This window comes from Homo sapiens, chromosome 17 (assembly GCF_000001405.40).
Source record: "Homo sapiens chromosome 17, GRCh38.p14 Primary Assembly".
In the NCBI taxonomy this organism is placed as follows: domain Eukaryota; kingdom Metazoa; phylum Chordata; class Mammalia; order Primates; family Hominidae; genus Homo; species Homo sapiens.
Genome location: NC_000017.11, coordinates 55,273,726 through 55,287,266, shown reverse-complemented (window position 1 = coordinate 55,287,266; position 13,541 = coordinate 55,273,726). Strand labels below are relative to the sequence as shown.

The window sequence follows — 13,541 nt, the reverse complement described above, 5'->3', positions numbered from 1 at the left end:
GGGAAGGGGGAGCAAAGCTCCAAATAAAACTTCTGAACTTCAACTATTTCTCAACACTTTCAGAAGACCTCTTTCAATGTACAGGGTGACTTCACCTTTTCAATAACCTTATCTAACCTCCCCTGGAATGACTAATGTGATTGCAACAGTATTACTCTTTGAAGCAGCATGCTTCTCCCCTGCCTCCCCCCTGATTGAGCTAATGCATCTACCAGCCACGTGAGAACTTGGCATTATTTTTAAAGTTAATTACCAGCAGGTTTCTGAGACAGGTGGAATGGGTTTCTGTCACCTCCCTTCTGCAGAGTAAGCAAAGACTGTACCCACAGACTGGCAGGAGGCTGTATCCCAGTCCCTGAGATTTTGGGCATCCTCTATGACAAGGGAGGCCTTCCATCATGGAAGGAAGAAGCAGCCTGGCACATGCATCTAGCTGGAAAAGTTTCTGTAAGTCTTGATTGGTTGTTGCTTGGCTGGATGATACTGATGGCAAAAGTAACATTCCAAAGCAGTAAATATAAGACTCTGAATAAGGCTTGGCGCTGGGAAATCCTTATGGAATTTATGGCTTGGTGTGATGGGGAAAAAGAGTTTATTTTCAACCGTTTGTTATGAGAGGGGTCTATTTCATTGAGAAAAGAAACGTCATTATTATTCCAATAAATCTTTGTTTTCTAACCATTCAAGTCTTTCCTAAGGAAGGTTTAAAATTCCAAAACCAACTTTATTTTCAAAAGCAAGTCAAGCTTCAGGTGGCCACCTACAAGAACAGACAATAGAGGAGCTGAGGGAAGCGAGATTACCCCAAGAAATGAATTATACCACCTCTTTCTCCTAATTCCTCTTTTTGAAATTAGATATTTGTTTTACTGAAGGCAAAACAGCCAGCTTGGCCCCTGAGAAAAGTGAGATGAGAATGGGAGTAGGGGTGGAGAAAGGGGGGTACTATCGAGAGGTAAAGTACAAGGGTGGGGGGAGAAAAGAAATAAAAATAGACAAGTCAGGGAAAACCAAATGGCAAAGGTCCATTTGTTTATTTTAACAGTGTTTGCCATTCCAGGCGGCTTGCTGAAGTTCCTTCCTTCCATGGCTGGCCTTGGACCAACATTAGAAAGGTCTTAGATCTTTGGAAAGAAGATTTGGACAACAAAGTTGTTTTATCTGGGAGGGTAACTAGCTTACTCAAGAGTTCCAGGACTTTGGTTTTGATGTTATTACCTTGGCCTAAGTTTCCCTGTCCCAGGCAGTCCTGGCTCTGTTTACTGATTTTGCAAGAGAAAAGGGTGGCCCGAGGAAGGAAGGGGCTTCTCTCAGGCATCACTGCCACATTTAGCTGGATCACCTCAGTACCTGGGCACCGCGAAGAAGATGAAGACAGGCGCAAAAGTAAAACATTTTCTAAAGGTCCTATCTCTCGACACTCATAAGAGGCAAACAACACTTCTCTAACTTACTCCCCAAATAGACACCACCGTGGATGTTCTGCCAAGGAGTGATGCGAAAGTGTGTTCCGAAGTGAAATGTAAGCTTGGCCCAGTGCCCAGCTCTCTGCTGTATTTTGCACAGAGTGCTGCAGGCTGAAGGACCAAAGGAACACATTTCTCTCCACGTGACTGCAAGAGCCAGGCAGCCCAAGCAGATTTCTTTGTGTTAATAAAATGTGATCTCTAGACTGTACACACCAACAGCCCTGGAAAACGTGAGCCAGAGAGAAGGACCCAAGGAAACCCATGGCCCTGGCTGAAAAGGGACTGCAGCTGCTGGCACACTGTGTTGTATCAAGGCAGAGGCATTGCAGGCCTGGCAAATGCAAGTGAGAACACAGCCAGAGATGGAAAGACATGTCAAAGGCTCAGGGGAATGCTGCTTAAGAAATGAAAACAATCCATGGAATCCCATCAAACATGATCCTGCACAAATGTTTACTCTTTCTTGGTGGCTACAGACCAAAGTCCTCAATGGACACTCTCAAGACTTTGGATATACCTGGGATCCAAGGTACCACGTCTCAAAACTGAGACCATTCCAAATATAGCAGGAGCTTGACTCCTAGGTTAAACTGTATATCTTCTGGTCTGGTGTAAGGTGTGACTAATACACATACTTCCATACTCTCACCCCACAGGGACCCAGGCAAATGCAGTCAACTCTCTATGAACGAGGGCAGCCATGGGAGGCAATCACAGGGAACCCAAACAATCACCATGGGGTGGCCTGGACTCTGGGGAGCTTTGCTGTTGTGGGCAGTCCCTGACTCCTTGCTTCAGTGGTCTTGGTCTCCACTGGCCTCAAAAGAGATCCATTGCTCAGGGTCTCAATCTATATATATCTATATCTTGGGAAGGGAGGAGGTTCCTAGGTTGAGGAAGAAAGGGGATTAGTGGCCCCTGCTCACTGGGCCCTCTTTCAACATATGACTTAATCTCCGGACTTTCAAATTCACTGTGCCCTGTGGTCAACTTGTTCCCAATTTGAACAGGGTGTTGGGGGCAGGAGCTGAAAGGTAGCAGGAGCAGAGCACCAGGACCCAGGTAACTTCTGAACCTCTCAGGAACTGTGCTGGAGAATGCAGAAGTTTACAGGGCTAGAGGGCACCTCTGGTTGGAGAGAGTAGAAGGTCCTGGAAGAAGTCATCCCTTGGTCCCCCTCCCCTGCAGTCGCCCAGTGCCCAGGCTTCCCAACCATGGGGCAGGCAATCAGCCATCACCAGCTAATTATGGAGCAGCTGAGTTGATGAGCGACTCCCAGGCCCAGGTGAGCCTTCACCTTGGTTAATCTGCAAACCAGTTAATCAGCCTCAGGATAATTGAAAGTTAACCGTATGCAGAGCTCAAGTGCAGTTACTGGAAACAACAGGAAACAGCAGTAGCAGAGGAAGTCAGGCCCACTCTCAGTGAACTCTTTTGTAAATCCCTATAGCCAATGTTTAACCTGGAGCCCACTTCACCCTATTGCCCAACACACTCTTGGATCAAGTCCTTGTCACACAGTTACCTGGATCCCAGGGAGCACACAGTAAGTGCTCAACAAATTGCAACTGGTTGATTATTTCCCTGGTGCAGTTCATGGATTTAAAGTTAGGAGGCTGGAAGGGCTCAGAGACATTTGGCTGGCTATGTTAGAAACATACTGGGGGAGCTGCAAAAAGCACTACACTCCCCCTCAACCGTTCTTTATAGAAAGAAAAATCTGAAGAGTTCAAACCTTACCAGGAAAGCAGATCAACAGCACAAAAACGCAAAGCACGTTCCACAGCTGAGGAGAAATAAACTTCAGATTATCTGTTCCTTTAGCATGGATAACTGAGAATCACCTTCAATCCTAAACAGACTGGCAAGTTCTCCAAAGCTTCCTTAAAGAAAGTGGCTGCACTTTGATTTTGATTTCAAATATCAAGAATCGCAAGTATGGAGTGTACGGCTGACTGCCTACCGAGGACGCAGTTTCCCTGGAATCTGCAGCCATGACCTCTGGCCACAGGCAGCTTACCAGGGCCTGTGGTTTGTGGCTGCCTCTGCTGGATCAGTGGCACCTATGCCTGTGCTTTACTGGAGTATCCATGGACTTACGTGTTGGAATTACAGCTTCCCTCCACCTTGCAATTCCTGTCTCGTGACCAAGGAGCTGAATCAATAGACTTCCTTTCTTCCATACCCTCTGTTAAGCTAATCAGAATAAGCCTCCTTCAGAGAGTAAAACATTATGTGCTGGAGGCTCAGAAAACACTTTTCCAGGACATCGGAAGCAACACCGGCCTGAGTCCTTGATCTGCTGCCCAGTAGAAGGACAACTACTAAAGGATCTTCCAAACCTGCTCTGGCAGGACAGCAAACACCAGGCACCAGTACTGCCCCACCCAAGCCAAGGGCAGACATCACTAATTAATCACAGAACTCTTCACTGAGCCCAGACCGAGCCTCAGACCCTTTCAAAATGACTTCTCAGGCACCTACTAATCCATCAGAGCCAGTTGCAAGATGAAACCTACTATCACAGGCAGGTCCTACAAACCTGACTCCAGCCACCTAGAGGAGCAGCCAAAGGCCCCCTCTGGCCACTGTCCTCCTAGAAAAGTTGCCATCAAAAGAGCCAGCAGTGGGCCCTGGGGTGTTTCCTTCTGTGGGCTTTCCTTTTTTTTTTCTTTTCTTTATAAAAAAATTATTTTGTCTGGCTAGTAAACGACCACTAAGAAATCCAACCGTTGGAGCAATGATTCCAGCCAGATAATTTATTTTCAGGGTTGTTCTGGAATGCTGAACACCAGAGAGAATCTGGTGGTTTCCATTCGGCATGAAGACCATTTTTTAAGGAAGTAACTAGCTTGATTATTGTTGATTTTTTTATTCCAAAAGGTGTCAAATGTTTTTTGCTTTTCAGCGTTAGTTTTTAAACTCTGTCATCCTTTATGAGTGGAAGAATGTCAGATTCTTAATCCATCTACTACTTGGCTTGGGAGCAGCTCCATTACCCCCAAGAGGCTTTAAATTTTTTTAGACATTCACCAAAATGTGAATGTTAGTCGTCTTCCAGCACATAGTAGTCTTTGAACACAGAGTCGTAGAGCTAGAAACAGCACCTACATTTTATAGACAAGAAAAATTAGGCTTTGAGAGATTTGGTGACCTGTCCTGTCCAGAGACATCTAATGCTGACAAACTGGCTTTAGAACCTAGATTGGCTGACTCCAAGTTCAGTGCTCTTTGGAACTGGCCTACCTTTGAAATTGTTGCTACGTGTTTTCCATCTCTTGCCGCCTAAAAGCCAATGGAAATAATAATGGACATTGATGTAAACTGTTTGGTCAGTTTTCTATTATGACATACTTGTAAGTTAGAAGGACGTAGATTATTCCCATTTTACAGATGAAGAAGTAAAAGCCAGAGAAGCTGAACACCTAAGGTTATACTTGCAATTAATAGCATAGCCAGGACTACAGATTAGATCTCTTGTGTTCCCAAAGCAGCATCACGGAGCTTACAAAGACCCAGTCCAGCAACTCAAAAACCTGGAAGCAAGACTCCAAAGATATTAACTACAAGTGCATTTTAGAACGTGGCCTTTAAATACCAGATTCGGACTCCGAATTAAAACTCACTGGGTGACAATCCGAGTAGGCACAGTCCCACATCCTTTTTACTGATAGCTTGTTTAATGTAATTTAACTTGCATGACAATCCTGCAAAATAGGCCATCATGTTCTGGATGAGGAAATGGGGGCTCAGAATTCAAGTGACTTGCTCAAAAGTTTCCTGGCTTTTCAGTAGACCCCTGATTCCAAATTCAATTTAGCTTGGTGACTAAAGGGCCCCACAATCACGTGCCGATGCTATTAGGACTGTGTTTCTCTGAATATCTTTATCAACGCCTGTTATTTCTGCCTTGAAAATGATTTCATCCTGATCTCCATGGTTTTTGGCCACTGAGATATGCCCAAATTTATTTTTAAGCTGCCTGTAGTCAGAATGGAAGGGCTGATGGAGAAAAAAAGAAAACATACTTTGGCAATGTATTCACAACATTCAGTCCTCTTGGGAACAGACTAAATTCCAGGGACCAATATCATTTCTAATATGAGTTGATTTGCTACAACTACTTACAGTCAGTGTTTAGGACAATGCTGGTTTTAACACATAATGGCTATTGCTATGATTTCATACTGAATTTATCTGATTTAAACTTAGGAGCATTGTGTTCACTCTTTTATAAAAGGGGAGACAGACTCAGAGATATTTTTTGTTTTGTTTGTTTTGTTTGAGATGGAGTTTTGCTCTTGTTGCCCAGGCTGGAGCGCAATGGCACGATCTTGGCTCACTGCAATCTCCGCCTCCCGGGTTTAAGCGATTCTCCTGCCTCAGCCTCCTGAGTATCTGGGATTACAGGGACCTGCTACCACGCCTGGCTAATTTTGTATTTTTCGTAGAGACGGGGTTTCACCATGTTGGTCAGGCTGGTCTCGAGCTCCTGACCTCAAGTGATCCACCCTCCTCAGCCTCCCAAAATGCTGGGATTACAGGCATGAGCCACTGCGCCTGGCCGCGACTCAGAGATATTTGATGGGATACAAAAATATGCTGAGGGAGCTTTAGCTGAAATTCAACATCCCTCACAAGAGGCTAAAATCTTGCCTAGTTTCATGCTGATGTACTTTGTAATCCCTCAAGACTGCTGTACCTTTAAAAGCCTTACCCTGCCACATCCACATGTACAGTGCACAACATACTGTATCAAGCGTGACCCATGCCAAGGGCCAAGAACCCCACAGCTGTAATCTAGCTGGAAACCAAAGTCATACCAGGTTAATCTCAATTCTTAAATCGATCAACTTCTAGTTGTCCCCTTTGTGTAAAAACCGTTTTTAGACATTTCTTCCAAATAATCTATTTTTGTTTTTACAATTTCCTTGTATTTCCATTTCACTTCAGCAGAAGAGTCCATTCTTTCCTATCTGGACCCCTCTCTGCCACGTTTCCCTCTGGTACAGAGAAAGGAGAGTTAAGAATTATGTATTTGAGAGACTCACACTAAGGAGAGCAGAAGGCCAGGGAGTTTTGTGACCATTGAAAACCCATTATCCTGCCTCCACATCACTCAAGAGCCCATCAACAACAACTAGAGGACAGCCAGTTCACTACTTTATGGCCCAGAAGTGTCACCAAGGGTAAAAAGAAGAAACCTAAAACACAAATCTGGCAGTATGTTGGAAAGGCTCTAGAGCACCAAAGGAAATGTATTCTAAATTCCCTTTCACCCTTACCCACTCAAGATCTTCCAGGCATAGCACCAGAAGACATATGCAGGCACAGCAGGGCATATGGAGATGGAAGACACAGCCAGGGCTCACAGAGCATACATCTATTCAAAGAGCTATCCAAGAAAGCAGGCAATTACACTGTGACATGCTAGGGTGATAGGACCACAAATGGTGTTTGAGGTGGGATGTATCTTCTCACAGGTGTAAAAACACAGGGTGCTCACCTGCTGTATCTCTTCCTGATCCTTTCTTCCCTGCAATAACTCAAAAGCAGTTTCCAGGCCATCACTGCTATAGCATTGCTGTAACACAAGATGTGTTCCTACTTAAGTGTCCATAAAATAGCCATGGAGGTGGAAGAAGAGAAGGAATAGTAATTGTAGAATAAAAATAAAACTGCTGAAAGCTGCCATTTATATACTGAGCACTGTTCTAAGTGCTGTACATGTATCATCTCATTTACTTCTCCAGGAATCCTCTGAAGCAGGTATCAGCACCCTCACTTACAATGGAGGGAACAAATGCAGAAGAGTTATATGGCTGGTAGATCCCACCACCTTTGCGGGTTGGCCGATGACATCCTCTCTGGTGGCAGGTAAATGAATGAAAATAATATTTTGGTTCCATATACTTATATGAAAATTTAATTTTAAAGATATGAAAATTGAGTGGTGGGGGGGAATGGAGAAGGGGACAGATGGAGATAACTGGCAACAATTTGGTGGGAATGCTAATCTGAATTACTGAAATGTCAGAATGAAAAAAATTCTTTTGCTATTCACTAATACGCACTTGTGGTTCAGGATATTAATTTATATATACACAGTTAAAATCTTTAAAAACTATTTTGTCCTCAAGTTAACTCTGTGTCCCAAAATTATGTTTGCATAATTAATCTGTTTGGTAATATTTTTTCTTTTTAAATTAAAAATATATATATATAATGTAGAGATGGGGTCTCACTCGGTTACCCAGGTTGGTCTTGAACTCTTGGCCTCAAGTGATCTTCCCACCTTGGCCACCCAAAGCACTGGGATTACAGGTGTGAGCCACTGTGCCCAGCTAGTAATATCTTTCTTTATAAAGAAGACAAAGATATAAATTTTAGTTTAACCAATTCAAGATAAAATGATCATAAAATCTCAATCAATGCAATGCTACTGTCAGGCAAGTGAGAGGTTCAAAGGAGAAATAAAATAAGTAGACCTAAATTGCTTCTTTATACCTAGTTTGTGTAATACTGAATCTTCCTGTCATCAGTCTTCCAGGAAGCCAATAACTAAATATCATTATCTGGCCTACTATGTTTGGGTAAATTTCACTTATAATGTTAAAAATAACTTTTTTGACATGAATATAAATATTATTTTTAAATCATTTAGTTGTCACTGCCCATTTGAAATAAACATGCTTTAGATTTTATGAGGAAAAAAGATACTCACTTCCCCAGGAAGGTGTACTAATACAAAGAAATCAATCATAATGAAATGAATTTTATGAAATTCTTACAAGGTCAGTTCTGCAAATTTCTCTCTTCTTGTCTTCAGGAACTCTTTCAAGGCTTTATTTCCATCTTTACATTTTATATTACTTACTCTTTCCTCTATAAATCTTTCAATGGCCTTTGGCCTTTTAAAAACAATACTATTTTGATCCAGTACTAATTGGATCTGAGATCTCTGTCCTGTTTTCATAGTTCTCTAGTAAAAGCCTGCATGGTCTCCTTCAGTGTTACTAACTCAGCCCACATCATAATGACTAAGGTGAATTCAGTCTTCTGCTCAATCCTCAGGGCAGGCTGAGTTTAACTGTTTGCCACTATCCTTAAAATAACCCCTCATATCTTGGGGTATTGAGATTTCTGTTCTGGGTAATCTGATTACTGCATATCTAGATGATCTTGTTCATCTGGTTTGCTGCATTGATTCCCATTGGTCAGGGCCTGGTGGCATCCTTCCCCCAAACAAACCTTCGCCACTCAAATCAATTCAAGAGGCATTTATTGGGTACAAATGGACAGGCGTGCTTAACTCTTTCCATTAAGTGCAGAAGCACTTAGAGAGCAGTGATGAGACTTTCCTGCTCTACTGTCCATGCCTGGGTTCCACAGCAAAGACACCACAGCAGACTGTTACCCAGAGCTAATTAGAAAAGAAAGCATTGCTCTTCCCCACTCAAGGAATTTCTGCCAAAGCATTTATTTCTGCTGATCCATTTATGCAATTCCACTTTCTAAGAGAACATTTTGTCACAGATGATTTAGTGTTGTAGCTCCCTGAAGCATCTTTCTGTAGCATGCACTCATTGTTTTTAGGAATCTAGGGTCTCCCAGGCAAAATTTGAGAGGCAACAGGGTTTAATAGCCACAAGCCATGTCTCATTATAAGACCTCAAATTCCAAAGCATTCTTCCAAAGATCATTAAGGAAACAAATCCCAGATTAAACTTCTAAAAACGAAACTTTTACGAACCCTGTGTGACAGGGGAGCTGTGTAGTTTTTCAGGAAAGAAAATGAGATTGGATGGGTAGTGAGTTAAGAGAGTAACATTAGTTTGTAAAAGTCAGAAAAGAAGGAAAACCAACATTTTAGGAATTTCCACATTCGGTCATGGAGTCTGTACCCACCACAAGCCAATTTAACAGAAACAAATACTATAGTTTCTCCCCCAGCAGACACTCGATTCTGCCAACACTCCTGTAATTGTCTACTCTATGTAGCTGGAGGTGAAATTGCCCACCTTGACAGCTATTTTCTATTTAAGTGAACTAGATTGGGTTATGGCAACTCTTTCAGCCTTCTGAAATCTTGGCTTGATATCAGAGCACACTTCAGGGGGTGCTTGAGCAAGTCATTTCATGCACTTGACATTCAGCAGTCCAACCCCCCCCAATCCGATCCCCTCCCACAATGTCCCTTTCCTTTACTAGTACTCCCAATATGAAACACACACACACACATCCCATATCTAAGCATGATGTACAGTTCTGTTTTCAGGGAAGAAGGGAGCCACAAATACAAGGTCAGGACTCAAGAATGCAAAACTGTAATAATGACTCCTTTGTTTCCCAGGAGTAAAACTGATTTAAGCTAGCCAGAAACTTGGCTAAGTATTTTTAGCTTGATATTACTGCCCCAGGTAATCCTTACAATCAGGTACTATTTGTATCACTGAGACATTAACCTTCCCACCCCCACCCACAAACCCAAATGCACGCATGCCCACGTACACATGCGCGCGCACACACACACACACACACACACACACACACACATACACATAACATCTGGTTCAATATACTTATTTGCAAACCTAGTAAGCTGTATAAAATAGAGGCATTTAAAAGTGATGAACGTTAATGAGTTGGGTTTATTAAAATCTATTTTTCTACTCCTATGAGACCAGGCCTGCTTTTGGACTTTTAAATTCTGAACCAGTCAAATCCCTCAAACTATTTCCTTGCCAAAGAGTGTTTCCCCCAATCACCAAAATTATGGGTTTTATAAATGAAACCTAAACCCTGTGTTTTTGAATTACTTTCTCTAGATCATTAGAACATCGTGTTTTGAAAAGCTGTTTGATGTTCAAGGGAGAGTATTTATTTTCAAAATAATAAAAATAAGGAAATCCTGGCTTGCCAGAGGAAACTATTGTCAAGTTTCTAAAAATGTTTCAAATCCAACCTTGAACTCAAGTGGAAATGTTCACATGCACTTTCCTGCTGAAAAACCTTCAATGGCTCCCTATTGCCTACTGGATAAAGTTCAAGCTCTGCAGCCTGGTACTCATGAAGTTGTCAGCCTGACTGGCACCAACCTCTCTGACTCATCTCCCTGACTCCTTCATATGAATTTTCTGCACCAGCCAAATTGGATCTACACCCTGTTGCCTAAAACACCCTGTGGGCATTCCTGCCTCTATAACTTTGTGGGGCATTAACCTCTCCAATCTGGCTCTCTCACCCCTCCTTCCGGGCCCATCACAGGCTACAACTCTTCCAAGAAGCCTCGCCCCAGGCACCTTTGCCTTGAGCAAAGGCTTCTTCCTGTGAGGTCTGGCAGCTCTTATTGGCTATACTGCTCCCTTATTTATATTCATTTTCTTGATTAATCTTTCAACCTCCTCTTTTCAGCAGATATTGGAGGCCTCTATATACCCGTCATTTGACACTGAGAACATGCTAGTTTGTCCTGTCACTCATCACTTTGCCTAAAAGTCTTATCTTCCCTACTAAATCACTGTCTCTTGAAACTAGCAGCCAAATTGTACTCTTGTCTCTCTTCCTCAGGGTGCACAAATCAAAACACCAAAGCACAGAGCAAAAACAGATGCTATTTCTGGGACCATACACCTTGCTCTTCGCCTCCTAAAACCTCCTCTGTTGCTTTCTCTTTAATTTTTAATTTTAGATACAGGGTTGCACTCTGTTACCCAGGCTGGAGTGTAATGATGCAATCAAGGCTCACTGCAGCCTCGAACTCCTGGGCTCAGGCGATCCTCTTGCCTCAGCCTCCCAAGTAGCCAAGACTACAGGCACGTGCCACCATATCCAGCTAATATTTTTAAAAAAATATTTTGTAGAGATGGGTCTTGCTATGTTGCCCAGGCTGCTCTCAAACTCCTGGTTTCAAGTAATCCTCCCACATCAGCCTCCCAAAGTCCTCTGTTGTTTTCTAATCATGGTATCATTTCTTAGAGAAAAGTAACTGAACTGACTTATGGTAAAGGCTTGGCTACTATGTACAGGGCACCAAGCTGGATCTTTCTTGCACAGTAGCTTTAGAAAGCTCACAAAAACCCAACAAGGATGTTGCTTTGCAGAAGAGACAATCAAGGTTCAGAAAGATTAAGGATTTACTCATTAAAGAACCCCTTGGGGAGAGGAGGAATTATTATTCTGGAATGCTTATGTAAAGTCTTGCTTGCAAGCCGGAGGATAAACTGAACCTTCTCCTTCTGAAACACCATAACATACCTTTATGGTTTCCTTACCCCCAAGGTCACTATATTGCCTTTAAATATAATTATTAATGTCTATTGTTAAAAATTCAATGGTAGCAGTAACTGACTGATCTATTAGCAAATATGACATGGAAGAAATCTAATCAAGAACTTCTTTGGGCAGGGCACAGTGGTTTCCACCTGTAATCCCAGCACTTTGGGAGGCCAAGGTCGGTGGATTGCTTGAGCTCAGGAGCTCAAGACCAGCCTGGGAAACATAACAAAACCCTGTATCTATAGAAAATACAAAAATTAGCCAGGTGTGGTGGTGCATGCCTGTAGTCCCAGCTACTTGGGAGGCTGAGGTGGGAGGATCTATTGAGCCTGGGAGGTTGAGGTTGTGGTGAACCATGATCGCGCCACTGCTCTCTAGCCTGGGCCACAGAGCATGACCCTGTCTCAAAAAACAAACAAACAAAAAAACTTCTTCAAAATGCATTTTGTTTATTTAATCCCATGAGCCAGGAAGAATGAGTAAAGGGTACAGTTAGCTACTCAAGGTCACCTAAAATTCAAAGGCTAAGAGAAGGGCAAGCAAGACTTGGCAGAGAAGCAGGAGAGAAATCCAAATTTCTTGACCAGTGTTCTTAATTAGCTAGGAAGGGAAAAGTATCAAGACTCTTTCTGAGCCCCACGCTTGGTCCTCCCATGGGAAATGAGATTAGATGGTGGTGAAGGTGCTGCTTGCAGCAGCTGTTATTAAGCACTTGCTGTGTGCGAGGCACTGTGACAATTACTCTGCATGCATTGGCTCATATGACCTTCAACAGTCCTATGAGGCAGGTCCAATGATTATTCCAAAGTTCCGGATGAGAAACTGAAAGCTCAGAGCATTTAAATGACTTGCCTGAGATCGTGAGCAGCTAATGAGTGGCAAAGTCAGGATTCACACTCAGGCTGTTTTGTTTATTCAATTCTGTGCTCTAAAAAACATTACTGCTATATTGCCCGTATAGACTGGTGTCTCAAACACAGGACATTCTGACAGACATTGTGCATGGTGAGACAGAGGCACCTAAGTCTGAGGGAAATTTAAATTTATAGAAAAACAGTGGTTTAGTAGCTTTAGGACAAGACATTTGCTGGGGGAGGGCCAAATACTATAATCAATATTAGCTGTGACCAATATTCTCACCCACACCCATTACAGAATCAAACACAGGCCCTGTACCTCTCTAATATGTTATTTTCTACTTTTTTTCATCTTATTACTTTCTCTACTACCTTCCCTCTTACCTCCATTTTCATTGCTGAGACATAAAAAATGATTCCTGGGTAAAAGTGATTAGTGCTAATTGGAAGAGAGGTTTCTGAGAAACCTAATAAATCACGGCTGTCTTCCCCTCCTCTGGCTTTCTACATTAGGATGTTATCAAGGGTTTTTTTCTTCCCACCTCCCCCACCCCCTTTCCTTCTCCTCCACCTAATTCTGTCTTTATATTGCTATTTTTCTAGTCTGGTAGGCACAGTGCTGAACTGGAAAGACTCTGCCAAGACCCTTGGCAGGAGCTGGCCTCCAGGAATCCTGCCCACCGCAGCAGTGCAGAGAAGACAGGGCCTCTGGGCAGACAGGCAGGAGAGAGGGCCAGGTTTGGGGTCTGGCTAGAATGTTGGACAGAACAGGTTTCCCTGGCATCTGAACTGCCCTCCAGAGCTCAGCTTTCTCATGCCAGGGTCAGGATTACAATTGCTTGCTGGCACTTGCTGTCATTCTCCTGGGAAGGGAAGCGAGGGGGAGGAGGGAAAAAAAAAAAAAAAAGCAAGCCAGCACACCACACAGCGTTGGGCA

The 13,541-nt window shown here is 43.0% G+C and overlaps 1 protein-coding gene across 5 annotated transcripts in view, besides 1 other annotated feature; it reads right to left on the bottom strand.

Annotated features, from left to right (window-relative positions):
- HLF (HLF transcription factor, PAR bZIP family member) overlaps window positions 1–13,541 on the bottom strand; it is a 60,228-nt gene that overhangs the window by 37,921 nt on the left and 8,766 nt on the right. The window lies entirely within an intron of this gene.
- Window positions 729–3,165: an enhancer, noted in NCBI's record as "VISTA enhancer hs2291". NCBI's record gives its function as "enhancer in: other[10/12]" and the evidence as "EXISTENCE:transgenic organism evidence [ECO:0001131][PMID:17130149]".